Source organism: Homo sapiens, chromosome 22, assembly GCF_000001405.40.
Source record: "Homo sapiens chromosome 22, GRCh38.p14 Primary Assembly".
NCBI lineage: Eukaryota > Metazoa > Chordata > Mammalia > Primates > Hominidae > Homo > Homo sapiens.
In genome coordinates this window covers 46,530,564-46,557,630 of record NC_000022.11, presented here as the reverse complement: position 1 = coordinate 46,557,630, position 27,067 = coordinate 46,530,564, and the positions used below count along the sequence as shown (strand labels likewise).

Sequence of the window (27,067 nt, the reverse complement as noted above, 5' to 3'; positions counted from 1 at the left end):
CTTTCTTTATGTTGGTTCCATCTCTTGGTGGTTCCAGACCAACAGTCTCCCCTGTCAGCACCCCTGGACAAACCAGAGATTTCCTGTGCCCGATGGTTCTAACAAAAGTTTGAGAACTGGACCTCACTGGCTGTGATTAACCTGGCCGAGGTCACATGTCCATCCCTGAAGCATGAAGGACTGGGGCTAGCTCTGCCTGGGCTATGTGGCCTGAGAGCTGGGGAGGAGAAGAGGTATAGTTAGCAGTCGAAGGGGAAATGGAATTGGCCAGGCAGTAGCACGGCTGTCTACCTCACTGTGGCTGGCTCCCCAGTAGACTGCCTACTGCTCAGGCAGGGACAGTGTTTAAGCCCCATCTGTGCCCCAGCATTGCCCTGCATAAGGCAGCACAGAGTAAGGGCCCTAGCAGACCAGCTTTGGTTAGGTTCCTCAGGGCCTTGCACGTGCTGTTCCCTCTGCCTGGTATAGCCCTGCACTGCACCCCCACCCATTGCCCCCACTTAGTACCACCTCATCCAGGGATCTGGAATTCTAGGAATTCTGATTAGATGCACATTAGACTCACTCATACTCTCCTCCCAGCCTTCTTACCTTTCTTTCATATTTTCTCTCTTCTCATCTTTCTATGTTGCATCCTAGGAAATTTCTTCGTATCTGTGCTCCATTTCACTGATTCTCTCTTTAGCTGTTTAACTCATAGTTTCAACATTTGTATTTTTTCACTTGTAAAAGTATATTTGGTTCTTTTTCAAATCTCTCTGGCCTTTTTTTCTCCAATAGACTCTTTTGCCTTTTTGATCATCTTCCTTATTCCATTAAATCCTCCTTAATCGGCTGGGTGTGGTGGCTCACGCCTGTAATCCCAGCACTTTGGGAAGCTGAGGTGGGCAGATCACCTGAGGTTGGGAGTTTGAGACCAGCCTTACCAACATGGAGAAATGCATCTCTGCAAAAAATACAAAATTAGCTGGGAGTGGTGGTGCATACCTGTAATCCCAGCTACTTTGGAGGCTGAGGCAGGTGAATTTCTTGAACCTGGGAGGCAGAGGTTGCGGTGAGCCGAGATCGTGCCATTGCACTCCAGCCTGGCCAACAGGAGCGAAACTCTGTCTCAAAAACGAACAAACAAATGAACAAAAACAAAAAACTTCTTTAATATAAAGGCAGATTTAGCTGGAATTCCTTAGATGGAATAAGGAAGACAATCAAAAAGGAAAAATTGATAGATGAATAGACTTCATCTATTTCTTTTCTTTTCCCTCCCTCCCTCCCTTCCTTTTTCTTTTTTTCCTGGCAGAGTCTTACTCTGTCTCCCAGGCTAGAGTGCAGTGGCACTATCACAGCTCACTGCCACCTAGACTTCCCAAGCTCAAGTGATCCTCCTACGTCAGCTTCCTGAGTAGCTGGGACTACAGGCATGCTCCACCACATCCGCTAATTTTTGTACATTTTTGTAGAGATGGGGTTTCGCCATGTTGCCCAGGCATGAACTCCTGGGCTCAAGCAATCTGCCCACGTCGGCCTCCCAAAGTGCTGGGATTACAGTTGTGGAGCCACCACGCCTGGCACTTCATTTATTTATTTATTTATTTTATTTATTTATTTTTTTAGACGGAGTCTCGCTTTGTTGCCCAGGCTGGAGTGCAGTGGTGCCATCTCGGCTCACTGCAAGCTCTACCTCCCAGGTTCATGCCATTCTCCTGCCTCAGCCTCCCAAGTAGCTGGGACTACAGGCGCCCGCCACCACACCCGGCTAATTTTTTGTACTTTTAATAGAGACGGGGTTTCACCGTGTTAGCCAGGATGGTCCCAATCTCCTGACCTTGTGATCCGCCCGCCTTGGCCTCCCAAAGTGCTGGGATTACAGGCTCGAGCCACTGCGCCTGGCCGGCACTTCATTTATTTCAAGCAGTTCTCAGGGGTCTAAATCTATTTGTTATTTCTATTGAGTCTCGCCTTATGGTGGCTTGTCTCCTTGGGGTGTGTGTGTGTGTGTGTGTGTGTGTGTGTGTGTGTGTGTGTGTATTTGGTTGTGCTTCATCTGTAGGAATCCTGAAGGCCTAAATTGGGATGCTTTCCTCCAGAAAGAATTTCTGTTTGCCTCTACCATTTTATCACTGACCAGGACCAATTTAATTTAATTTCTTGAGTGGGGATTTTCCCGTCTATGAGGATAGTGTAAATTTAACTTCAGCGCTGCAGGAGAGCAAATGGTTGCAAATCCTCCAGGGACATTATTATTGTTCTTAAATGTTTCCACCTGGAGCTCTGAAGCAGACACCCAGGTTTCCCAGAGGGATCCCTGTCCTGGCAGGCAGATTTGGTTGGAACCACCCTCTCCTTAGGCGGGTAGCCTCCTTTGAGGGTCTCAAGTCGGTGTAGGACTCTTAGGTTCACTACCCCCACTCACCACTCTGCATTTTGCATTACCTAAGGAAAGTGCTTATTGCTCATCTCTGGTTCCAGATAGTTTGCTTTATTTATTGCTTGTTTCTTTTGTGGAAGGAGGGCTTCCTTGTGATCTTGGCAGTGCAATAATGTTATGTCTGTAGACATTTACTTGCAATCAGGTAGCGGATGGCATTTTGGGATATCTGATCACTATGCTGCCAGAAGTCAAGTTGACTCATTAGCTCATTCTGGGAGTTACATCCTTGGCTGCCAACATGGCTCTCACCTTGCTCCAGAGGAGTACTTTGGAGAGAATTCAGGGTGTACATTTTCTGGCTAAGCCATGGAATGGGGCCTGGCCCCTGCTGCTTACTCCTCAGCTCTCATGCCTGTTTCCAAGCTTCAGGGTCCTGCAGCAGTCCCCCTTCCTGGTGACCTCATGGGTTCCTCTGAGGGCAGCCAGTGAGATGCTGCGACTCAGTGCAGCCGGAATGCACAGCAGAAAGAGTGAGGGGGCACCTGTGTGTGTGCTGGTGCACTGGGGTGTGTTGAGGGTGTTGGTAGTGGGAAGAGCCCTAGAATTGTTCAAGCCAGTCATCTGGATTGGACGTTACCTAGAAAACTCCCAGATTTCCTCTCCGTTTTAGGCACCACAGATACAACCTAATGGGCTGCTTTGCAGACGGCCAAAATGAACAGAAACGCCTGAGTGCAACAGAAAGCAATCCCACACCCCCTCGGAGACAGGCCTAAGCTCTGCTTACCCTGAGGGCTCTCCAGCCCTCACACCCTCCTCCTCTCACACTCACTCGTCCCCAGCCCAGCCTTGCTACCTGTGTCCCTGCTTGGGGGGGTCTGTCTCCCTAGGAGATGCTGCCCCCATGAAGGCAGCGCTGGCCTCGACCTCATTCACCCAGGAGTATTTATTTATTTATTTATTTAATTTTTTGAGACGGAGTCTTGCTCTGACGCTGAGGCTGGAGTGCAGTGGCGTGATCTCAGCTCACTGCAAGCTCCACCTCCCGGGTTCACGCCATTCTCCTGCCTCAGCCCCCCAAGTAGCTGGGACTACAGGCACCTGTCATCATGCCTGGCTAATTTTTTGTATTTTTGGTAGAGATGGGGTTTCACCATGTTAGCCAGGATGGTCTCAATCTCCTGACCTTATGATCCACCCGCCTCGGCCTCCCAAAGTGCTGGGATTACAGGTGTGAGCCACCTCACCTGGCCCAGGAGTACTTATTGATCTTCCCTCTGTATTTGACCCTCTGCTCAGTGCCACACAGTGGAAGGAGCTGGTCTTGGCCCTCTGGGGTCATCATTAGGGAGACAGTAATACAGGACAGTGACAGCTGTAATGCATGATGCAGTGGTTGTGGGAACAGATGAGGAGCACCCTAGCCTGCCCAGAGGACAGGGAAGGTGTCAGAGGAGGCAGCATTTGAGCCGCAGCTAGAACACCAAGTCATACGTTGTCAAATGTACAAACTGGGGAAGGGGCCAGTGGGGGATGGGAGATGGGGCTGACTAGTGGGCAGGGCAGACCCAGAAAGGTCCAGAGATGAGGAGCTGCCGGTGACCCTTCAAGAGGGGAACAACCCTCTCGGATGTGTATTTGGGATGATAGATTACTGGGTTCTCTGAGTCTGAACCTCACATTTCTGGAACCTTTATGGCTTTGTAAGAGGGAACTAAAGTATTGTTCTAAAGCTGTTCTTCATGATACCCAGGGTGAGCAGGTAGACTTTCCTGGCTTAGATTAGTGAGAATCACCCCCATTTGCAAAGTGCAGTAGAGTTCACGCAAATGACTTGCACAAGAACCCTTGGCTGGTAAGTAGAGTGCACCAGCTACCTATTGCTGCGTAACAAACACACCATTGAAACAACACTTCGTTATTATTTCTCAGGGTTCTGTGGGTTGGCTGGGCTCAGCTGGGTAGTTCTTCTGCTTGTGGTCTCTCATGCAGTTGCCGTCAGATGGTGGCAGAATGTCCAAGATGACTTATCACTCACATCTCTGCACCCTCAATGTCCTCTGGGTAGCCCCTCTCCATCAGGCTGGTCAGACTTCTTAGGTGGCAGCAGTCTCCTGAGAACGCACAGGCCAAAGCTGCTGGGTCTTGTTAAGTCTCAGGCCTGGAACTGGCACAGTGGCACTTCACTGCATTCTGTTGGTTAATGTGAGGGTTAGGGCCAATCCAGATTCTGTGTGGGAGGGGACTAAACAAGGGTGGAAACACCAGGAGGCATGGTTCCCTGGGGCCACCTTTGGAGATTGGCTGCCACACAGTGAACCTTGCCTTCAGGCTCTGTCTATGTGTCTTAACCACTATGACTCTTCTCCTCTGGAGAGGCCATAGCCACAGCTGGGGGTCTCTGTTTGAGTTACAGTGAGACCCTGCTTCTCTGATTAACTGCTCCTGCAGTCACATTTTTAGTATGTGATGCTCAGAGATAGTCCATGGGATGTCTGTATCAGTTATCTATTGCTGTGTAACAAAACTCCCCCAAATGTAATAGCTTCAAACACAACCATTAATTCTTTCCCGTGAGCCTCCAGGCCCACTGAGTGGCTCTGCTGATCTGAGATGGGCTCACTTCTGAGGTCACTAAGGGTTGGCGACATGGCTCTGCTGTCTTAGCTGGGCTCACATTCCTGGGACCTCAGCTGGGACAGCTGCTCTCGGCTCCATGTGGTCTCTCATCCTCTGGCACACAGGGCTCCTGAAGGGCAGAAGAGCACTTAAGGCCTAGGCTCAGAACTGACATCACTTCTGCCTCACTGTATGGTCAGAACAAATCATAAGGCCATCTGCCAGATTGCAGGGGTGGGGAAATAGCTCCCACCTTCCCATGAGCTGAAATGTCACCTTGCAGAAGGCGTGAAGGCAGGAAGGAGTGGAGCCATTTGTCATCAGCTGCCGTTGTGCCTGTGTGCATTTGAGAGGGGCCCTTCCCAGCAGCAGCCAGCCCACGCCAGGTAGCCGGGCTGGGTGAGCCAGGCTGGGCTGGGTCTCGGGCCCCGTGCAGCCCTCGGTGAACACCTTTATGTGTAGTCTCATGACCCTGTCTGACGCTGATGACTTGACCATGTAGCTGCTTCACACAGACCAGGCCAGCTTGGGAACTGGGAATTAGAAACAAGATTCTCGTTCGCCAGGAGCCGTTCATTTGAACTGGGGAGAGAGCTGAGCCCAGGAGCTCTGGCCGATGACAGGGTGCCTGGAGAAGCAGGCAAAGCAGCTCAGAGAGAGGAAGAAGAAGAAAGGCAGGGGCTAAGGGAGGCCATTTTGAGGGAGAGAGGGAGAAGTCTCCCCACAGCCCCACGGGAGGACTGCCCTCGATCCAGGGGGCTTCCAGCTGCTGGACCCACCCTCGCCTGTCCCGGCCATGTAGCATTTCCTCAGCTCTGTCCATCTAGTGGCATTATTGCTTTAAAAATGAGATGCTTCCTGGGCCATCAGCTCTGCAGAGAGCCACAAAGCTCCTTTTGGGTCCGTGTCAGAATTCTGCTCCCCAGACGGAGATGGCCTCATGGGCTGCTCCAGCACCAGCCTGTGCAATGTGGTCCGTGTGGCCAGAGAGCTGGAGGCTAGGGGCTTGGCATTCCTGGGACCCAGAAGCGGCTAGGAGACTGTCGGGGCCTGCAGCAGCATGGGAGCAGGGGGTAGCAGATGGAGGGTCCAAGTTCTAGGGCAAGCTGAGGCCAGGAGACCTGTCCCTAGCCCCCCACCTGCCAACGCCAGCGGGAGCCAGGACAGCGGGACATGGGTCCTTCAGGGGACAGCAGGCTGGAGGATGAGGAGGCAGAGACTCAGGCTGGAGGCCCTGAGAACCCCTGTCACCAGGCGGCCACATAAGCCACATCATCCCCTCAAGCACCCAGAAACTGGAGAGACGGCAGTGGAGGAGGGGAGGGATCTGGGGTCTGATGTCACAGGGCTGGCCTCGGTTTTTTGTTTTTTGTTTTTTTTTTAGATGGAGTCTCACTCAGAACGCCCAGGCTGGAGTGCAATGGCGTGATCTTGGCTCACTGCAACCTCCTCCTCCCGGGTTCAAGTGATTCTCTGGCCTCAGCCTCCTGAGTAGCTGGGATTACAGGCGCATGCCACCATGCCTGGCTAATTTTTGTGTTTTTAGTAGGGATGGGGTTTCACCATGTTGGTCAGGCTGGTCTCAAACTCCTGACCTCATGATCTGCCCACCTCGGCCTCCCAAAGTGCTGGGATTACAGGCATGAGCCACTGTGCCCAGCTGGGCTGGCCTCGTTTTGTGCCCACTGCCCAGCAGAAGGGGCTCAGGAGGACACTCAGAGGGTTACAGGCAAAGCAGAGAAGCTACACCTTCTCTGGGCATGTGGGGCATAGAGGGAGGTAGAGTTTTTTTGGACCCTGGAAATGTGGGGTCCGTCCCCCTCTTATTTCCCGGAAGAGCCCCAATTTGTTACCATGTCCACACCCCAAAATTAGAGGGGAGATTCTGATTTACACTAAAGCCAAAGCTCTGTCCTGTTGGGCCATGGCCAGGGCATTCACCAAACTCCCCCTCCATGGCCCAGCTCCCGACACCGGGGATGTCTGGCCTCTCTCTGGGGAGATCCCACATTCCCTGCAGTCCACCTCCCATCCAGAAGCTTCTGGAATCCCTCCCTCCTGCCCCAGGTCTGCCTTCCCCTCCACAAGCCTCACCTCCAGTCCTTTCCTTGGAGATGCCATCCCCACCTCCAGGAGCCCACCCAGACGGACCCAGTGAGAAAGGCTGCCTGGCTCTGGGCTTGTCCCGGGAGGCAGAACCTGCCGCATGGACTGGCCCCGACTGCCCTGCTCCGCGGTGAAGGCAGGTAGGACAGGATAGGCATCCCCACCCCTCTCCTCTGGCCTTCGCCTCACTGGCCAGAGAAGAGCCCCTTGCAGGAGTGAACGGGGTGGGAGATGGGGAGAAAGCCCGGCCTGAAGGAGTGGGTGCTGGTGCCTGTCCCACTGCTCTAATTCCTGCTGCTGTCCCCACGCTGATCACAAAAGGACACGATCATATTCACCTGACTGGGGTGCGGGAGCGGGGGCCTCTCGGAGCCCCTTCTCCACACGGGTTGGGGGGCTTCACCCGCCAGTATTGCCACAGTAAAGGGGCCAGGTGTCCACATTTACAGAGGCAGAAACAAAGAGATTCAACCCCCCTCATCACTGCAGGTGGGTGAGCAGTGACTCTCAAATGTTGGAACTGCTGACTATGAGAAAGACAAGAACTCTCGTTATCTCTGAGACTGGCAGCCTGGGGACAGTAGTCCCCTCCTCCACCAAAGAAGCTCCTGGGTGGGACTTTGGGGTAACCCACCTCTTGGCTGGCCAGAGTCATTGTGGGTGGGTTCTGGTGCCCTGTGTGTTATGCTGGGCAGACATCCTTTCAGGATGGAAAGCCGCCTCTTCACCTGTGTCCTCCGGCAACATCTCACCATGGGCCTCTGGTTCTATGCTCAACTGGTCTCCTCCCCGACCCCTGCTCTTCTCCAGCCACCCATGCTCTCAGATGCACAGCTGACCTTGTCCCTCTACAGCTGAAAATCCCCAGTGCCTGCAGTACAAAGGCCAGACCCCTTAACCCACCCCTGCCTACCTCTGGCCTCAACTCCCACCCTACTCTCCACCCCTACGATTTCACCCCTCAGTAATATTAAATTGCCTATAGTCACAAATTCTCCCCTGCCACACAGAGTCTGTTTGATTCCTCTAGGTCTTTGTATATGTTTTTCCCCTTGGCTGGAATTCAACATTCTTGTCTGCCTGGAGAACCTTCAAAACCCAGTTACCCTGGACAGCTTTCACAGACACCCCCCTTCACTGTCTCTCTAGAGTGACCTGTCCCTTGGTTTTGCTCCACAGTATTTGACCGAGTATGTGTGTATGTCTGTCTCCCCAGCACAGCAGACGGGACTTACCAAGGGCGGGCCACATATCTGAAAAATTAGGGGCAGAGTCCAGCACAGGGCTGGGCACAGGCAGGCCCCCAACAATGGTGCATGGCCCAGATGAAATGAAGCAGCTTTGCCCCAGTCTTGGCCTCAGGAAGCATCTCTGAAGTGTGGTGAGGATTTGGGGGTCACAGTGGGTACCCCCCAAAGGCCAGCCTTGGGAATGCTCCTGGCTTCCACTCAAACAAAGCCCCCCTTCTCCTCCCAGAACACCCTGGCCAGGAGTGACACTGATGGATCACTCACCCTCCTGCCGACTGCACAGCCCCGTCCTGGACTCTGGCAGACCACGAGCACTGGCTTCCCAGCAGAACCTGGCTTGACCCCAACAAGGCAGACATTGTGACGTTCACCCATGTAGAGATGTAGAGAGAGCCATCTCAGACCGCTGACCTCCGCAACCAGCAGATAATCAGCATCTTGTTTAAGACTAAGTTAACTTTAAGACTAAGTTTGGGCCGGGCGTGGTGGCTCACGCCTGTAATCCCAGCACTTTGGGAGGCTGAGGCGGGCGGATCACAAGTTCAGGAGATCGAGACCATCCTGGTTAACACGGTAAAACCCTGTCTCTACTAAGAAAAAAAAAATTAGCCGGGCGTGGTGGTGGGCACCTGTAGTCCCAGCTACTCGGGAGGCTGAGGCAGGAGAATGGCATGAACCCAGGAGGTGGAGCTTGCAGTGAGCTGAGATCGCGCCACTGCACTCCAGCTGGCGACACAGCGAGACTCTGTCTCAAAACAAAACAAAACAAAACAAAACACTAAGTTTGTGTGGCTGGGTGCAGTGGCTCATACCTGTAATCCTAGTACTTTGGGAGGCCAAGGCGGGTGGATCACCTGAGGTCAGGAGTTCGAGACCAGCCTGGCCAACATGGTGAAACCTTGTCTCTACTAAAAATACAAAAATTAGCCGGGCATGGTGGTGCATGCCTGTAATCCCAGCTACTCAGGAGGCTGAGGCAGGAGAATTGCTTGAACCCGGGAGATGAAGGTTGCAGTGAGCTGAGATCATGTTACTGCACTCCAGCCTGGGTGAGAGAGTAAGACTCTGTCTCAAAAAAAAAAAAAAAGACTCAGTTTGTAGGATTTTATTACATCAACCAGAGGAGAAGACTGAGGTCCAGAGAGGAAAACAGACTCACCCAAGCTCCCCACCAGGCCTCCTGACTCATTGCCCAGTGCTTCCTGCTTGTCCTGCCTGACCTCCTCACATGACAGGGACAGAGGCCCCAGCTCACACGTCCACTGCTGATTCCGCAGAGGCAAAAGTTCAGAAAAACCAAGCCAAGTCCATTTCTCTGGGTGTGCAGGCGAGCAAATTTTGTGGACAGAGAAGCCTGTGTGCCCTGAATCATGCAAAGGAACCAATTAACCAATTTTAGCAGAAGTTGGAACTTGCAGGAACCGAGCGCTCTGCCAATAGCTCCTCCTTGTCCCCTGTGTCCCCCTGAAGCAGGTGGCGGTGTGCCACGATGTCACCTTGGATTTAGAGTTTCTTAGCTTCGTGAGAGCCCAGAACACATACCGCCTGCATCCCCGAGGCCAGCTGGGTGGCTCTGGCCTATTTATAGTGTCCTCATCCATCTTCTTTTCTTTTGATCAGGGCAGGACCCAATCTCGGAGGAGCTGCAAATCTCGGCATGCTCGACAAATTCCAGCAGGGCATGAATCATGGGCTCCTGCCTCGTGAGGGCCCTCCTCTGCCAGTGGGGCTGGTGGAGCTCTGGGGCTCGCCTGCTGCCCAGCTTGGAGGCAGAGCCGGGCCTGACGGAGTCCTCCCTGCACATTCCAGAGGAGCTCAAGCCAGCTTTCCCCCCGGGATCTCACCTGACACTGCAAGGCAGAGTGCCCCACGAAGAGAGGGTTTCCTTCGCTTGCCTTTTTGCCCTGGCAAGACTGGCAACCAGGAGTCCGTGAGCACCGGTGCCTCCTCAGGGGTGGCACCTCTTTCTGGGAAGCCACACGGGTCTCAGACAGCTGTGCCCTTCCTGCTGCCCTCCAGCTGCCAGAAGGCCATAGTTCCCATGTGCCCTGGAATGTGGGACTCTCTTTGAGACGTCCACTTGGGGACCTGTCCTCAGGCCCTGGGGTCAGCACACAGGTGGGCAGTTTCTTTGGGCTCAGGGTCAGGCTCCTACTGGTGGGTGAAGGCAGCCCTTTGTCTCATGTCTTGCCCCAGCGTTCCTGAGTAGCAGGCTCCCTCCCCCATCCTCTTGGCAGCTGTCCCTCCCTGCTCCCTCCCGGTGACCACAGCCAAGCCAAGAGGCCTGTGCTCTGTTCCCCACACGTCCATGTAGAGTGGCTGGACACCGGTGTTGATTGCTGTGGAGGTGGCTGGAGGGAGTGGACATTCCATTGTAATGATGGCAAAAATAGCCATGATCTTTCAGCCACTGCTGAAACTGCTGGAGTCAGGCCCTTCCCAGGTATGATTTGCCCTCCCTGATGGTGCATTTGTCTCCCAGATGTGCAGATGTGGAAGCCGATGTCCTGGGGATCAGGGGAACCTCATGAGGGAGGAGGCAGGGGGCCAGGACTGGCTCCTGAGCTCTGCAACCCCAGTGTTGCCGTCTGTCTTTTAATCTTTAAAAAGAAGATACAATGATATAATTAGGATGCGGCAATCTCAGCACTGGGAGGCCAAGGCGGGGCGGATCACTTGAGGTCAGGAGTTTGCGACCAGCCTGGCCAACATGGTGAAATCCCATCTCTACTAAAAATGCAAAAAAATTAGCCGGGAGTGATCTCAGCTACTCAGGAGGCTGAGGCAGGAGGATCGCTTGAACCGGGGAGGCGGAGGTTGCAGTGAGCCGAGATCGCACCACTGCACTCCAGCCTGGGCAACAGGGCAAGATTGTGTCTCAAAAAAAACAACAAAAACAAAACCAATAATAATAATTAGAATGCTGACACTGTCTCTAGCTTTTCTGGGTCTCTCCCATTCCTGTAGAATCGTTCTTGCCCACAATCACCTGCCCATCTCTCTTGCACCCCAGAAAAGTTTTGCAAGTTCAGGAAGAGAAAAAAATAATCTGACATGTACTGTCTGTATTCTCCCATGACAATAATCTCTCTGTGGGGGGAGGGGTGTCCATGTCTACCACGGTATTGAATGAATATTGAATGAATGGCTGAATGTGCATGAAGGAAAGGAGACAGTGGGTGGTTCAAGTGTGGTTGTTCTTGCTTCCCCATTCCAATCAGGACATAAGCGGGGGGCCAGGGAGGACAAGGCCAGGCTGGCAGAGTGTCATCAACTCACGGCTGCTGCGGTGGGTGGCCCTCCTGTCCAGCAACAGCATCAGGGGGTGGGTGAGCGTGTTAGGAGGGGACAGAAAAGTAGGGGCCACTGGCTTCCCCCACCCCCAATCTGCCAATCCTACCTCAGAACAGTTTTTTTCTTTTTTTGAGACGGAGTCTCGCTCTGTCACCCAGGCTGGAGTGCAGTGGCTTGATCTCAGCTCACTGCAATCTCTGCCTCCCCGGTTCAAGCAATTCTCTTGCCTCAGGTTCCTGAGTAGCTGGGACTACACGTGCGCACCACCACGCCCAGCTAATTTTTGTGTTTTTAGTAGACATGGGGTTTCACCATGTTGGCCAGGTTGGTCTCGAACTCCTGACCTCAGGTGATCCACCTACCTTGGCCTCCCAAAGTGCTGGGATTACGGTCATGAGCCACCGTGCCTGGCCCTCAGGGCAACTTTAGTGCTCCTCCCTATACCCAGCAGGGGCAGAGGAAAGTCCCCAGGGAAAGTCCTCTTTGAGCCGTTGATGACAGCATGGTTAGTAGTAGTTACAATGCCAAAATATAAAAAGAATAATTTTAAAAAAGATTTTGTGTGCAATTTTGCAGAGGGAATGTCTTGCCCTTTTTTCTCCACTCAAAAGGAAGGGAGGGTATTCAAAAGAGTCCAAAAGTGGAAACAGCCCAAATCCCCACTGGCTGATGAGTAGATAAACAAACTGTAGTGTATCCACAGCGTGACACGTTACTCAGCCTTCAAAAGGAAGGAAGCACCAATTTATGCCCCAATGTGCAGGAACAGTGAAATGTGATGCTGAGAAAGCAGCCAGGCCCAAGAGGCCACACAGTGTGTGACTCCACTGACACAAACCACCCAGGACAGGCAAATCCATAGAGTCAGGAAGCCAGTTATCAGTTGCTGGGGGCTGGCAGGGGATTGATGATGACTTTGGGGCTTCTTTTTGGGGTGATCCAATGTTCTGGAATTAGATAGCGGTGATGACTACACAACTCTGTGACTATACTGAAAGCATTGAATTGTACACTTTAAAGTGGGTAATTTTTAAGATATGTGAAGTGTGTCTCCTTTTTTTTTTCTTTTTACATTTATTTTTTGGGCCGGGTGCAATGGCTCACACCTGTAATCCCAGCTCTTTGGGAGGTTGAGGTGGGCAGATCACGAAGTCAAGAGATTGAGACCATCCTGGCCAACATGGTGAAACCCCATCTCTACTAAAAATACAAAAATTAGCTGGGCGTGGTGGTGCACACCTGTAGTCCCAGCCACTCAGGAGGCTGAGGAGGAGATCAAGGAGAATCGCTTGAACCCGGGAGGTGGAGGTTGCAGTGAGCTGAGATTGCGCCATTGCACTCCAGCCTGGGGACAGAGTGAGAGTCCGTCTCAAAAAAAAAAAAATTTTTTTTTTTTAGAGATGGGGTTTCATTATGTTACCCAGGCTGGTCCTGAACTCCTGGGCTCAAGTGATCCACCCACCTTGGCCTCCCAAAGTGTTGGGATTGCCGGCATGTGCCACCGTACCTGGCCCTTGATCTCATTTTTTTTTTTTTGAGACGGAGTCTCACTCTGTCACCCAGGCTGGAGTGCAGTGGCACGATCTCGGCTCACTGCAAGCTCCGCCTCCCGGGTTCACGCCATTCTCCTGCCTCAGCCTTCCGAATAGCTGGGACTACAGACACCCGCCACTACGCCCGGCTAATTTTTTTGTGTTTTTAGTGGAGACAGGGTTTCGCCGTGTTAGCCAGGATGGTCTCCATCTCCTGACCTCATGATCCGCCCGCCTCGGCCTCCCAAAGTGCTGGGATTACAGGCGTGAGCCACCGCACCAAGGTTGCAGGGAAATGTAATAGTTTAACTTGAGAACTTAAATGTAGGTCACTCAGACTTCTCTTAGAGATAGAGATGGTGCAAGAAAATGCAGGTTTTGCCGGGCGCAGTGGCTCATGCCTGTAATCCCAGTACTTTGGGAGGCTGAGGTGGGTGGATCACCTGAGGTCAGGAGTTCGTGACCACCCTGACCAACATGGAGAAACATCATCTCTACTAAAAGTACAAAAAATTAGCCAGGTGTGGTGGCGCATGCCTGTAATCCCAGCTACATGGGAGGCTGAGGCAGGAGAATCGCTTGAACCTGGGAGTTGGAGGTTGCAGTGAGCCAAGATCGTGCCATTGCATTCCATCCTGGGTGACAAGAGTGAAACAAAAATAAATAAATAAATAAATAAATAAGGCCAGACATAGAGGCTTATGCCTGTAATGCCAGCACTCTGGGAGGCTGAGGAGGGAAGATAGCTTGAGGTTGGGAGTTTGAGACCAGTCTGGGCAATGTAGCAAGACCCTGTCACTACAAACATTAAAAAGAAAAAATTAGCCAAGCATAGTGGTATGTGCCTGTAGTCCCAGCTACTCAGGAGGCTGAGGCAGAAGGATCACTTGCGCCCAGGGGTTTGAGGCTGCAGTGAGCTGTGGTCATGCCACTGCCCTCCAGCTTGGGTGACAGAGTGAGACCCAGTTTCAGGGAAATAAAAAGGGAGGGAGGTATGTAAAGAAGAACAGTAATCAGTAATCAGTAAACAGTAATCAGGGCCGGGCGCAGGCTCACGCCTGTAATCCCAGCACTTTGGGAGGCTGAGGCGGGCGGATCACAAGGTCAGGAGATCAAGACCATCCTGGCTAACATGGTGAAACCCCGTCTCTGCCAAAAATACAAAAAAATTAGCCAGGCGTGGTGGCGGGTGCCTGTAGTCCCAGCTACTCAGGAGGCTGAGGCAGGAGAATGGTGTGAATCTGGGAGGCGGAGCTTGCAGTGAGCCGAGATTGTGCCACTGCACTCCAGCATGGGTGATAGAGCAAGACTCCATCTCAGAAAAAAAAAAAAAAAAAAAGAACAGTAATCAAGTGAGACAATATTCCCCCATATTGGCTCCATGATAACGTTTATGTGCATCAGGTGGGGGCCAGGAAACAAGATCGACCACGACAATGATAATAATAGTGATAGGAGCAAGGATATTCAGCAGCGTGAACTCAGCAGGTGTGGACCCTCTTCCGGGAACACGTGCATCTCCCTTACCTGAGCCTGGAGTCAGCAGCCCTCCCAGTCACTGCCCCCAAATGCAGCTCCCATGCCCTCCTGGGGCTTGTGTGCTCAGGTAGGCCCTTCATTCTCGTTCCCCGGGACTAGATGGGGGTGCAGCCTGTGGGGGGAGCCCCATCTCCACGCTGTGCACTCTGAGGCTCCGTTTGCTGTGTGTCTTGCAGAGCTGGGCATCCTCACCCTATAGAGAGTGAGGGGCTCAGGAGTCCCAGGAGCAGCGGGCAGTATGACTAGCAGCCCGTGTGGCCGGCCACTGCTCGGGGCCAGCAGCATCGTAAGTGTGTGTGCATGCACAGGGCTCACTCTCAGCATGGTAGCCACGGAGCCCGGGGCTCAGGCTGGTCTCTGCTCTGCTCAGGGACAGTGTGGTGGGCACCTGCACAGGCAGCCAGGCAGGCGCAGAGGGGTAGAGCCCATGCTTGGCCACTAGGGGCCAGTGCAGCCCTGAGATGGGCCCAGCAGGCACAGGCAGTGTGGGTGAGCATGGGGCGAGGGCATGGCCACAGGACCTTGTTGTTCCTGCCCACCCGGGCTCCCCAGGGAGATGCAAGAGCAGTTTTGGACACAAGACCTCAGCCCATTGCCCTGAGCCCACAGCATTTCCAGGCAGGCTGGAGATTTGTCTCTGGCTTTTGTGCGTGCCGGCTAAACTTCCTGGAGCTTTCCAGAACCTTCTTGGGGCTAAAGCCTCCCTGGAGCAGGTCGTTCAGGTGCTGGCATCTCAGGGAGCACCTGAGGGCGCCGAGCTCCCAGGAGGAGGCTTCACGAGGCGGCCTGGGTAGCCGTACGCGACAGCCCACGGGCAAGAAATCCCAGCTTTTATATTAGACAAGTTCTGGCAACTTCCAAGCAGGAAAACATGTTTTCTTTGTAGTCATAAAGTTATCCTGGCCTTCCAGGGAAGCGCTAGTACATAAGACGTGCTTGATTAGGATCTAAATTCTCTGTAGCCCCTTGCCTCTATTAACTCTATGTTGAGGCTTCATTTTTGTTCCGTGTTCTAACTTTCACAATTTTCCATGTGTCAAACCCCACCAACTGTAAGGCATCGAGAGGAGGCAGAGGGGTGCAATGGGCCTGCTCCCAAGATGTTTCCCCCTGAATTCCAAAAATAGGGCAAAGTGGACAAAGTGGAGCTTGGCCTGGGCTCACTCGGCTTTTGCCTATGAGTGATTTCTTGTGGCTCCTTGCTGTTTACCAACTGGCCCAGGAATTTACTGTGTAAGGAACAGATTCCAGAAGTCATGTAGCTTCTGGTTGCGGCCCCTGGCAAAACGCATTTTCAAGTGCTTTCTACAGCACGTACAACACTAGAAATCCATCGTGTCTGCCTTTTTTTTTTCTAAATTCTATTTTTGTTTTAAAAAATGCTCACTTCCCGTGAAACACCTCCGGGCAAGTGCAAAATACAAACATCAATTACAATCCATTGAGCCCCTGAGAAAGGCCGCAAGCAGCGATTCTAGGCACAGAAAACTGGTCAGTGGCTCTCAGGGTGACAGGTGCAAGAATGACCCAGGGTGCTGTTACTGAACTCCAAGCCCCCTCCCCGCCCTGAGAGTCATGAGTGGGCCACTGACCCCAGAGATGGTGGGCACATAGGGGCCGGGGAGGAGAGACCCTGCTCCAAGCCAATTCCAAAGGGGAAGGATATGAGCCGGGCAGTGACCTGTGGGAGCCGCAGACTCGGGCAGTGGACAAGCCCACCACATAGGTCACTGCCCTTTACAAAAAGCCCCACATATATCCCTTCTGCTCTCCAGGAATCAGCTCCACTTTCTGGAAACACATTGGGTGGACTGGATCAGTGTCCAAGTACAGACCCCTTGGGAAATCAGCTGAAAGCTGCAGCCCCTGCCTCTGCTCCAACACAGATGTGTGACCACATTCAATTCACATAATGAAGACAGAGAGGAGGCAGCCTTGAACTCATGCTAGGAAACAGCAACTGTGAAAATAGTAAATGCTATTACTGGCAGATCCATGCCTGAGCCAGACCCTGTGCCGACCGCTTCACACAGATTGTCTTGTTAATCCTTCAACAACGCTAGGAGTCTAGGACTATTGTGTCCAGTTAGAACAAGGAGTTAGGCCTTGGCGAAGGTCACACAACTAGTTAGTGGCAGAATTAAAGCTCAACCCCTCGAAGGTGCCAGTCATTCCAAACTCGTGATTTCTGATGCGGCCGGACCACCTGGCCGTCTCAGCACAAGCTGCGGCCTCCGTCTTGTTAGTCCCTCTCCCCTCCCCACTTACTTAAAATTGTGGATTCTAGGCCCGGCGCGGTGGCTCATGCCTGTAATCCCAGCACTTTGGGAGGCTGAGGTGGGTGGATCACCTGAGGTCAGGAGTTCCAGACCAGCCTGGTCAACATGGCGAAACCGTCTCTACTAAACATACACACATTAGTCAGGACTGGTGGTGTGTGCCTATAATCCCAGCTACTCTGGAGGCTGAGGCAGGAGAATTGCTTGAACCCAGGAGGTGGAGGTTGCATTGAGCTGAGATCGCGCCACTGTCCTCCAGCCTAGGTGAGAGAGCAAAACTCCGTCTCAAAAATAAATAAAGTAAAATAAAATAAAACTGTGGACTCTAAATAGGGTGTGGTGGCTCATACCTGTAATCCTAGCACTTTGAGAGGCTGAAGTGGGAGGATCTCTTGAGCCCAGAAGTTTGAGATCAACCTAGGCAACATAGCAAGACCCCATCTCTATTTAGCAATAAATAAAAATAGGCCAGGCACGGTGGCTCATGCCTGTAATCCCAGCACTTTGGGAGGCCGAGGTGGGCGGATCACGAGGTTGGGAGTTCGAGACCAGCCTGACCAACATGGAGAAACCCCGTCTCTACTGAAAATACAAAATTAGCCGGGCGTGAGGCGCACGCCTGTAATCCCAGCTACTAGGGAGGCTGAGGCAGAATTGCTTGAACCTGGAAGGCGGAGGTTGTGGTAAGCTGAGATCGTGCCATTGCACTCCAGCCTGGGCAACAACAGTGAAACTCTGTCTCAAAAAAACAAAACAAAACAAAACAAAACAAAACAAAAAAAAACAAAAACTGCCGACTCTAGATGCAGGCATAGGGAAAAGTACGCAAATCATGTGTTTGGAGTTCAAAGTGTGATCATGAAGCCGACACTCTGGTAACCCTCAGGTCCAGAAGGGGATGCCCCTCCTCCCCCAGAGCCCTCCTGAATGTGCCCATAATCACCTCCTTGTTTTTCTTCATCTTTCCCCTATTTGTGCACACCTCTAAACGTTATGGTGGAGTCGGGCTTGCTGTCGGTCTAAGCGTGAATGGAATGATCTTTTGTCTTTGCTGGACATCCTGTTAGTGAGATTCATCCATCCTCCCCTGTCCCTAGGTGTTGGGCAGTCCCTGTGGTTACCTCGCAGCCTGCAGGTGCCTTATTCCAGAAAAGCAGGCCCACACCTGAACCCACTGGCTGCAGCTGAGTTTTGTTTATTTAAACCCAACCCACTCTGCTTAAAGCCTTATTGCAAAACAGGCACTCCTGGGGTTCTCTGGTTTTTCCTCCTGCCTGGGTCCCCTTCAGGTCCGCCCAGTAGCCTTCCACTGGGAGGCTCCGGGCTCAGGGACCCGCCCTGCCTTCCGGCCCCAGAACTCCTGTCCTTTCATCCTTCCCGGAAAAATCCCAGTGGAAGGGTATATGGCGGGTGGGGAGGTCCTGGACCGCTCACATTAAGGAGACGGACTTTTCTCCTTCCTCCCCTCCCTCCACACACACATTTCCCAACAGGACTCTCCAGTGGAAACCTCGAATTAAAAGGTTCCAAAGCAACTCCACCTTTTAGATCAATATAACGTGTTCAAATCCTTGCTACTGGGAAGAAAATGCTCACATTGGGCTTCAGCACAAAGACACTGTTTCAGCAGCTTTGAGCGAAGTTGGCTGAGTATGCGTGTGACACACACACAGACACATCGCTCCGGGGGAGAAACCCTTCCGGTTCTCCACAGCCGCCCACGGTCCTCGTTGAGACTGGACTCATCTCAGCTCAGCTCAGAGATTTGGCTGCAGGATCCGACCCTCCCTTGCCAAAAAGACCCGTTCTAGGGGTGACTGCGCATTACTCCCACCCCCACCGCTCCGACCGGCCCCAGGAGAAGCCCTTCTAGGAGAGAAGAGGCGACCCCCACCTACCGTCCCCGACCACTGGGAGGCCTAAGGGCTGCACTGGACTCCGGCGCCCCGAGCGCCACCAAGGGAGTGCGCGCCCTTCCCAGCCGCTGGTGGCACAGTCCCAAAGCCCCGCCCATGCGGGGGGTCGCCAAGTCCTAAGCCTCCACCCCCTTTATCCCTGTGCCCCATCCGGAGGCAGGTGTACCCGTCACGCAAACCTAAAGCTGCCCCCGGCCCCCCGTGGTTCCCCGCAGGAGGCGGGGGTGTGTGTCACTTTTCTGAAAGCTCTAAGGTCTCTGCCCCCCGCCCCCCGCTGTCCTCCGTAGGAGGCTGGGCAGGGGCTGTGGCACAGCTCTAAATCCCTGCGGGTGCTTGCTTGCCCCAGGCAGCTTCCAGGACCCGCAGCCCCCCGCCTTCCCCGCAACCCGCTTCGGGAGGAGCCGGACGCTCGGGGATTCCGCGATGCGTCCGCGAACGCTCGGGTCGGGCCGCACGCGGGAGATGAGCGCGCCTCCGCCGTCCTCTCCAAATCCCTTATGTCAACCGGGGTTTTCTTCTTTCATTTAAAAGTTGCGCTTTAAACCAAGTGGGACGCAGATCCGGTAGCTGCCTATTGGGCTTCAAAGTCCAGGGAGTTTTAGTCGGGGTGAAGCATTTTAGCCTCCGTGCGTCTTGCTGTAAAATGGGTAACCCTCCTCGACAGCCTCCGCAGTCCTTAATGGGTGGGGGGGGGCTCCCCGGCCTCTCGGCCCCAGTCCTCCGCCCCCGGGTCCTACCCGCGCGGCACTCCTGGCGGCGGTCTCCGTGGATCTGTTCTGCCGGGGTGGGGAGCCAGGCTCTGAGCCGCGGCCCCGAGCCCGAGGTGCGGAGCCACCGCCCCACGGGTAGCGGCCACCGGGGGCCCCAGCCCCACCTTTCCCGGCCCTGTTGCCTCGGCCCCGCCCCACCGGGAGGCTGGGTGGGGAGGCCTCCGGGGAGTAGGGCCCCAGTCCCCGTCCCGGCCGCGCCCTCGCGTCTCCATAGCGATCCTCTCGGCGCGCACCTCCGAGCCGGCTCCCCCCGGGGCCGAACAATACGCCGCTGGGCCGGGGGCGGGGCGGGGCCGGGCCGGGGGCGGGGAGAGCGCGGGCGGAGTGGGCGCGGGCCAAGCGCACCGCCCAGGCAGCAGCCGGCCGCCGGGGTCTGCGCGGCGCGGAGCTGCCCAGCCCGCTCCGGGAACTCAGCCCCCGCCCCGCGCCGGGCCCGCCCCGCTTCCCACGCCCGTCCGGCCGAGCCCGCGCCGGAGCCACCTGGAGCCGCCTGGAGCCGCCGCCGCCGCCGCAGGTTGATGCGCGGCGCCCTCCCGGGACGCGCGGAGGAGCCATCTTGAAACCAACTTCGCAAACTTTCGCAAAGTGCTCTCGAAGTGGAAGCTGCGGGGGAGGCCGGGCGCGTGGTCCCCACAGTCCCCGCCAGGGCCCCCGGGGAGGCGGGACGCGGACCGCCCCGAGGGCCGGGCGCCCGGGAGCCGCTCCCCGGCCTCGCCGGGTGGATGCGGAGGCGCGCCGGGTGCATGGATTGTGTTCGGGCGCCCGGCTCGGGCTCGGGCTCCGGGCCATGGCGCCGCCGCCGCCGCCCGTGCTGCCCGTGCTGCTGCTCCTGGCCGCCGCCGCCGCCCTGCCGGCGATGGGGCTGCGAGCGGCCGCCTGGGAGCCGCGCGTACCCGGCGGGACCCGCGCCTTCGCCCTCCGGCCCGGCTGTACCTACGCGGTGGGCGCCGCTTGCACGCCCCGGGCGCCGCGGGAGCTGCTGGACGTGGGCCGCGATGGGCGGCTGGCAGGACGTCGGCGCGTCTCGGGCGCGGGGCGCCCGCTGCCGCTGCAAGTCCGCTTGGTGGCCCGCAGTGCCCCGACGGCGCTGAGCCGCCGCCTGCGGGCGCGCACGCACCTTCCCGGCTGCGGAGCCCGTGCCCGGCTCTGCGGAACCGGTGCCCGGCTCTGCGGGGCGCTCTGCTTCCCCGTCCCCGGCGGCTGCGCGGCCGCGCAGCATTCGGCGCTCGCAGCTCCGACCACCTTACCCGCCTGCCGCTGCCCGCCGCGCCCCAGGCCCCGCTGTCCCGGCCGTCCCATCTGCCTGCCGCCGGGCGGCTCGGTCCGCCTGCGTCTGCTGTGCGCCCTGCGGCGCGCGGCTGGCGCCGTCCGGGTGGGACTGGCGCTGGAGGCCGCCACCGCGGGGACGCCCTCCGCGTCGCCATCCCCATCGCCGCCCCTGCCGCCGAACTTGCCCGAAGCCCGGGCGGGGCCGGCGCGACGGGCCCGGCGGGGCACGAGCGGCAGAGGGAGCCTGAAGTTTCCGATGCCCAACTACCAGGTGGCGTTGTTTGAGAACGAACCGGCGGGCACCCTCATCCTCCAGCTGCACGCGCACTACACCATCGAGGGCGAGGAGGAGCGCGTGAGCTATTACATGGAGGGGCTGTTCGACGAGCGCTCCCGGGGCTACTTCCGAATCGACTCTGCCACGGGCGCCGTGAGCACGGACAGCGTACTGGACCGCGAGACCAAGGAGACGCACGTCCTCAGGGTGAAAGCCGTGGACTACAGTACGCCGCCGCGCTCGGCCACCACCTACATCACTGTCTTGGTCAAAGACACCAACGACCACAGCCCGGTCTTCGAGCAGTCGGAGTACCGCGAGCGCGTGCGGGAGAACCTGGAGGTGGGCTACGAGGTGCTGACCATCCGCGCCAGCGACCGCGACTCGCCCATCAACGCCAACTTGCGTTACCGCGTGTTGGGGGGCGCGTGGGACGTCTTCCAGCTCAACGAGAGCTCTGGCGTGGTGAGCACACGGGCGGTGCTGGACCGGGAGGAGGCGGCCGAGTACCAGCTCCTGGTGGAGGCCAACGACCAGGGGCGCAATCCGGGCCCGCTCAGTGCCACGGCCACCGTGTACATCGAGGTGGAGGACGAGAACGACAACTACCCCCAGTTCAGCGAGCAGAACTACGTGGTCCAGGTGCCCGAGGACGTGGGGCTCAACACGGCTGTGCTGCGAGTGCAGGCCACGGACCGGGACCAGGGCCAGAACGCGGCCATTCACTACAGCATCCTCAGCGGGAACGTGGCCGGCCAGTTCTACCTGCACTCGCTGAGCGGGATCCTGGATGTGATCAACCCCTTGGATTTCGAGGATGTCCAGAAATACTCGCTGAGCATTAAGGCCCAGGATGGGGGCCGGCCCCCGCTCATCAATTCTTCAGGGGTGGTGTCTGTGCAGGTGCTGGATGTCAACGACAACGAGCCTATCTTTGTGAGCAGCCCCTTCCAGGCCACGGTGCTGGAGAATGTGCCCCTGGGCTACCCCGTGGTGCACATTCAGGCGGTGGACGCGGACTCTGGAGAGAACGCCCGGCTGCACTATCGCCTGGTGGACACGGCCTCCACCTTTCTGGGGGGCGGCAGCGCTGGGCCTAAGAATCCTGCCCCCACCCCTGACTTCCCCTTCCAGATCCACAACAGCTCCGGTTGGATCACAGTGTGTGCCGAGCTGGACCGCGAGGAGGTGGAGCACTACAGCTTCGGGGTGGAGGCGGTGGACCACGGCTCGCCCCCCATGAGCTCCTCCACCAGCGTGTCCATCACGGTGCTGGACGTGAATGACAACGACCCGGTGTTCACGCAGCCCACCTACGAGCTTCGTCTGAATGAGGATGCGGCCGTGGGGAGCAGCGTGCTGACCCTGCAGGCCCGCGACCGTGACGCCAACAGTGTGATTACCTACCAGCTCACAGGCGGCAACACCCGGAACCGCTTTGCACTCAGCAGCCAGAGAGGGGGCGGCCTCATCACCCTGGCGCTACCTCTGGACTACAAGCAGGAGCAGCAGTACGTGCTGGCGGTGACAGCATCCGACGGCACACGGTCGCACACTGCGCATGTCCTAATCAACGTCACTGATGCCAACACCCACAGGCCTGTCTTTCAGAGCTCCCATTACACAGTGAGTGTCAGTGAGGACAGGCCTGTGGGCACCTCCATTGCTACCCTCAGTGCCAACGATGAGGACACAGGAGAGAATGCCCGCATCACCTACGTGATTCAGGACCCCGTGCCGCAGTTCCGCATTGACCCCGACAGTGGCACCATGTACACCATGATGGAGCTGGACTATGAGAACCAGGTCGCCTACACGCTGACCATCATGGCCCAGGACAACGGCATCCCGCAGAAATCAGACACCACCACCCTAGAGATCCTCATCCTCGATGCCAATGACAATGCACCCCAGTTCCTGTGGGATTTCTACCAGGGTTCCATCTTTGAGGATGCTCCACCCTCGACCAGCATCCTCCAGGTCTCTGCCACGGACCGGGACTCAGGTCCCAATGGGCGTCTGCTGTACACCTTCCAGGGTGGGGACGACGGCGATGGGGACTTCTACATCGAGCCCACGTCCGGTGTGATTCGCACCCAGCGCCGGCTGGACCGGGAGAATGTGGCCGTGTACAACCTTTGGGCTCTGGCTGTGGATCGGGGCAGTCCCACTCCCCTTAGCGCCTCGGTAGAAATCCAGGTGACCATCTTGGACATTAATGACAATGCCCCCATGTTTGAGAAGGACGAACTGGAGCTGTTTGTTGAGGAGAACAACCCAGTGGGGTCGGTGGTGGCAAAGATTCGTGCTAACGACCCTGATGAAGGCCCTAATGCCCAGATCATGTATCAGATTGTGGAAGGGGACATGCGGCATTTCTTCCAGCTGGACCTGCTCAACGGGGACCTGCGTGCCATGGTGGAGCTGGACTTTGAGGTCCGGCGGGAGTATGTGCTGGTGGTGCAGGCCACGTCGGCTCCGCTGGTGAGCCGAGCCACGGTGCACATCCTTCTCGTGGACCAGAATGACAACCCGCCTGTGCTGCCCGACTTCCAGATCCTCTTCAACAACTATGTCACCAACAAGTCCAACAGTTTCCCCACCGGCGTGATCGGCTGCATCCCGGCCCATGACCCCGACGTGTCAGACAGCCTCAACTACACCTTCGTGCAGGGCAACGAGCTGCGCCTGTTGCTGCTGGACCCCGCCACGGGCGAACTGCAGCTCAGCCGCGACCTGGACAACAACCGGCCGCTGGAGGCGCTCATGGAGGTGTCTGTGTCTGGTGAGTGGCCGTCGGGGTGGGAGGAGTAGCTCCTGATGGGCCTCCTGGAGAGCCTCAGGAACCCGCCAAGGGCTCCGCCTGGCATGCCGGGGCGCAATTGGGCCGGGCCCGGGCAACTCTGCAAGGATTTGTTGCCGCCGGTTGGATGCTGGGGGTGGGCGCCCGGCCTAGGCCCAGCGAGGGGGAGAGGCACCGCGCCGCTTCCGTCAGCATTTTCCTGGGAGCAGGCCTGCGGTTCTCCCAAGTTCAAGACCGGGGATCAGCGCCTTCCTCAGCAGGCTAGTGGCTCCTGAGTACAGCTATTAAAAAGTGGCCTCCAGGTGATCTGGGTCACAGGATTTGCTTGGAGATGCTCTTTCGTCAGCCAGCCACAGGGCTCTCTGGGAAGATCAGAGGTCACTGCCCCTTCCCAGTGCCAATTAATTCCAGGGTGGGACCGTTGGAATTGTCAGATGGGTCCCTGAGTCACCCTATAATGCAGCCGGTGTTCCCTTGGTCTGGCTTTTCTGTCTCCTGCAGATAATAACAGTCGGGCTTAGGTGTGTAGGGCTTTGTGCAAGCTCTTTGAAAAGCATAGCCTCATTTGATCTTGGCTTCTGCTCCTGGATGCGGGCTTGTAATTTGGGTGCTGTTGAAGAGGCCTGCCCAGTTAGTGGTGGAGCCAGTGTGGGCACCTCGCTCACCTGCTCTGGGGCTGGAGGTGAACAGGAGGGAGAGGAAACCTTGGCTCAGCAGTCAGAAGTTTGGCCGGTCCTCTATGCCTCTGACCCTGTGTGCCGGGGCTGGTCTGCGGTGCTGGGGAGGGGGACTAATAGAAAGTGTTGGAATTGGGAGACACAGAAGAGAGAGAAGAACTTCGAGGGGCCTGGGGGAACAGTAAAGGTCCCCCAGTGGCTCTTTGAGGTTTGCCTGACCGTGCATCCAAGGATGCTGGTGCAGGCAGGTGACCTTATTTATAAGCCCAAACTACTGCCAAGAAGAGCTCAGATTGGCTGGCTGTTTGAGTCAGTGTTTCAGAGAAATTGTTTAAACAGTGAGTTATTAGGATACAACTTTGCCACAGGAGCCCTGGAATAATTAAAAAGTTAACTTTCTGATTTGTTTCGTTTCCAAGGTTGGCTGTTATTCTGTAATATAGGAAGGGTTGGATAGCTAACAGCTTCCAGTTACAGTTTGCTTATAAGATGTGAAACTTACAGGTTCAGTTTTGGTATAATACAAACCTTCCGCACAATTTTGGCAGTACAGTCTATTTGTCGGTGAATATTTTAGGTTTGTGAGATTGTAAACGTGTAGAGAATATGGAATAGGCCCTTAAGGGCGAATTAACCGGGGTTATGGATATTCTTAGGAAGTTTTTCTTCTATACCACTTTATCTTATAGATAAAGCACAATGGGAAATTTGGCCTATTTAAAAATGACTTGGCCCAATAATAGGGTTTAGATTTAATGAGGGACGAGATAGTGGGAACAGATCCATGCTGGGGGCAGGGATGTTTTGTGTGTCTGTGGTATCAGTAATGTGGGCCCCCCCGCTGTTAGCCAGACAGCAGGGTTTAGGATGGATTCCCTTCCAAGGAGGTTGGTTCCTGAGAGCTGTCTCACCTGGGGCGCAGCTTAGACCACAGTTGAAAATGGGCTGGGGGCTCCACACTATGTAGTCATCCAGTCTCAGTCATCCAGTTATTGGCTCTGCTCCTTTGTGGACACACTCGTACTCTCGTGTAAATCAGGTGCTGTGTCCTCATGCATCCACACCACCCCCCAGACCACCACCGCCCCAACACACACCCGGATGACAGTGGTTACCTTTGACTGGGTTCCAGCAGGCGGTTTTCTTTACTCTTTTATTTGCGCTCTCATGTGTTTCCCTGGTAACCGGGAGCTGAGTGGTGTCATGCTGCTGCTCATTTTACAGATGCAGACACTGAGGCCCTGGGGTGTTGAGTGGCCTTCTCAGGACTGCACAGCCAGTGGGGGGCACTCGGCGTTAAACCACGATCCGCAGAAAGCAGCCCGCTCTTCGCATTCCCCTCTCTTCCTTTGGAGAACATTTTTGACGAATTAGTTGCTAAACTGAATTATTCCAGGGTCAAATGGGTGCTTTAAAGCAGGCATATGACCAGGCGCAGTGGCTCATGCCTGTAATCCCAGCACTGTGGGAGGCCGAGGCAGGTGGATCACCTGAGGTCAGGAGTTCAAGACCAACCTGGCCAACATGGTGAAACTCTGTCTTTGCTAAAAATACAAAAATTAGCCTGGTGTGGTGGCGAGCACCTGTAGTCCCAGCTACTCGGGAGGCTGAGGCAGGAAAATTGCTTGAATCTGGGAGGCGGAGGTTGCAGTGAGCCGAGATCCCACTGCTGCACTGTAGCCTGGGTGACAGAGTGAGACTGTCTCAAAATAAATAAATAAATAAATAAATAAATAAATAAATAAAAGGATGCGCAGAAATCTCAGACCATTCGACTAGGATTTAATGCTCCAAATAAGTAAATCACTATTGACTATAAGATCTATGGTTCCAGACAGCAAAGCACCGGATAGAAAACAGACCAAACAAAAAGATCAGCCCTTGAATTATCTGGAGGTTTTATTAAGGAACAATGCGGGGAAGCGGTGGTTTCAAACTCATCCACTGTTTTCAATGGAGTGTTGTTGCTTCCCCAGGATTTACAGCCATGCCCTAAAGCCTTTGATGCAATATGACCAGCCTGGAGGTGCTGTATGCAACAGGCCAGCCATCGACTACGTTTAGTGGGAGCCATTCCAGGAAGGGCTGCCAGCTTTCAGCAGAGGAGCCCAGGAGGGAGGAGCGCATCGGAGGGCAGGGCCTGGGAAGGCCCACGTGGTGGGGGCAGTTCATTTAGCCTGGCGTGGGGTTGAACACTGTGACTGTGACTAGATAGTTGTTGGTGGTTTTATGTAGCCCACCAAGGAGAAAACATTTTTTGAAAATTTTTTGAAGTCAGAAGATAGTGAAATTCAAATAGCTGCCAGTTTTGAATGACATCCAGCGATACAAGATGTTCATTTTTTGCGATAGTTTTTGAATGAGATTT

At 55.3% G+C, this 27,067-nt stretch overlaps 1 protein-coding gene and 2 long non-coding RNA genes across 6 annotated transcripts in view, besides 6 other annotated features; 1 reads left to right on the top strand and 2 right to left on the bottom strand.

Annotated features, from left to right (window-relative positions):
• Positions 1-3,737: 3,737 nt before the first annotated feature.
• On the bottom strand, positions 3,738-8,883 carry LOC105373075 (uncharacterized). Its single transcript, XR_938316.2, has 2 exons — positions 8,608-8,883; positions 3,738-4,561 (listed from the first exon to the last, which is right to left on the bottom strand). It is a non-coding gene; the product is annotated as an uncharacterized LOC105373075 (long non-coding RNA).
• Positions 5,165-5,459: a silencer, noted in NCBI's record as "tiled region #3871; K562 Repressive non-DNase unmatched - State 22:ReprW". NCBI's record gives its function as "represses a minimal TATA promoter and a strong SV40 promoter by Sharpr-MPRA in K562 cells {active_cell/tissue: K562}" and the evidence as "EXISTENCE:reporter gene assay evidence [ECO:0000049][PMID:27701403]".
• Positions 5,520-6,019: an enhancer, noted in NCBI's record as "H3K4me1 hESC enhancer chr22:46947509-46948008 (GRCh37/hg19 assembly coordinates)". NCBI's record gives its function as "activates a minimal SCP1, AML or CMV promoter by ChIP-STARR-seq in naive H9 embryonic stem cells {active_cell/tissue: H9 hESC(naive)}" and the evidence as "EXISTENCE:reporter gene assay evidence [ECO:0000049][PMID:30033119]".
• Positions 6,020-6,521: an enhancer, noted in NCBI's record as "H3K4me1 hESC enhancer chr22:46947007-46947508 (GRCh37/hg19 assembly coordinates)". NCBI's record gives its function as "activates a minimal SCP1, AML or CMV promoter by ChIP-STARR-seq in naive H9 embryonic stem cells {active_cell/tissue: H9 hESC(naive)}" and the evidence as "EXISTENCE:reporter gene assay evidence [ECO:0000049][PMID:30033119]".
• Positions 7,668-10,993: an enhancer, noted in NCBI's record as "VISTA enhancer hs1924". NCBI's record gives its function as "enhancer in: heart[15/16]" and the evidence as "EXISTENCE:transgenic organism evidence [ECO:0001131][PMID:17130149]".
• LINC02925 (long intergenic non-protein coding RNA 2925) lies at positions 9,434-16,136 on the bottom strand. Its single transcript, NR_186692.1, has 2 exons — positions 14,697-16,136; positions 9,434-10,943 (listed from the first exon to the last, which is right to left on the bottom strand). It is a non-coding gene; the product is annotated as a long intergenic non-protein coding RNA 2925 (long non-coding RNA).
• Positions 9,772-10,291: an enhancer, noted in NCBI's record as "H3K4me1 hESC enhancer chr22:46943237-46943756 (GRCh37/hg19 assembly coordinates)". NCBI's record gives its function as "activates a minimal SCP1, AML or CMV promoter by ChIP-STARR-seq in primed H9 embryonic stem cells {active_cell/tissue: H9 hESC(primed)}" and the evidence as "EXISTENCE:reporter gene assay evidence [ECO:0000049][PMID:30033119]".
• Positions 10,292-10,813: an enhancer, noted in NCBI's record as "H3K4me1 hESC enhancer chr22:46942715-46943236 (GRCh37/hg19 assembly coordinates)". NCBI's record gives its function as "activates a minimal SCP1, AML or CMV promoter by ChIP-STARR-seq in primed H9 embryonic stem cells {active_cell/tissue: H9 hESC(primed)}" and the evidence as "EXISTENCE:reporter gene assay evidence [ECO:0000049][PMID:30033119]".
• Positions 20,011-27,067, top strand: part of CELSR1 (cadherin EGF LAG seven-pass G-type receptor 1) — a 176,447-nt gene continuing 169,390 nt past the window's right edge. For all 4 annotated transcript variants that reach the window (NM_014246.4, NM_001378328.1, XM_047441624.1 and 1 more), the window contains exon 1: positions 20,011-24,004. In NM_014246.4, the coding sequence (NP_055061.1) occupies positions 20,461-24,004 (3,544 nt within the window). In that variant the 5' untranslated portion in view covers positions 20,011-20,460. The remainder of the gene's footprint in view (positions 24,005-27,067) is intronic.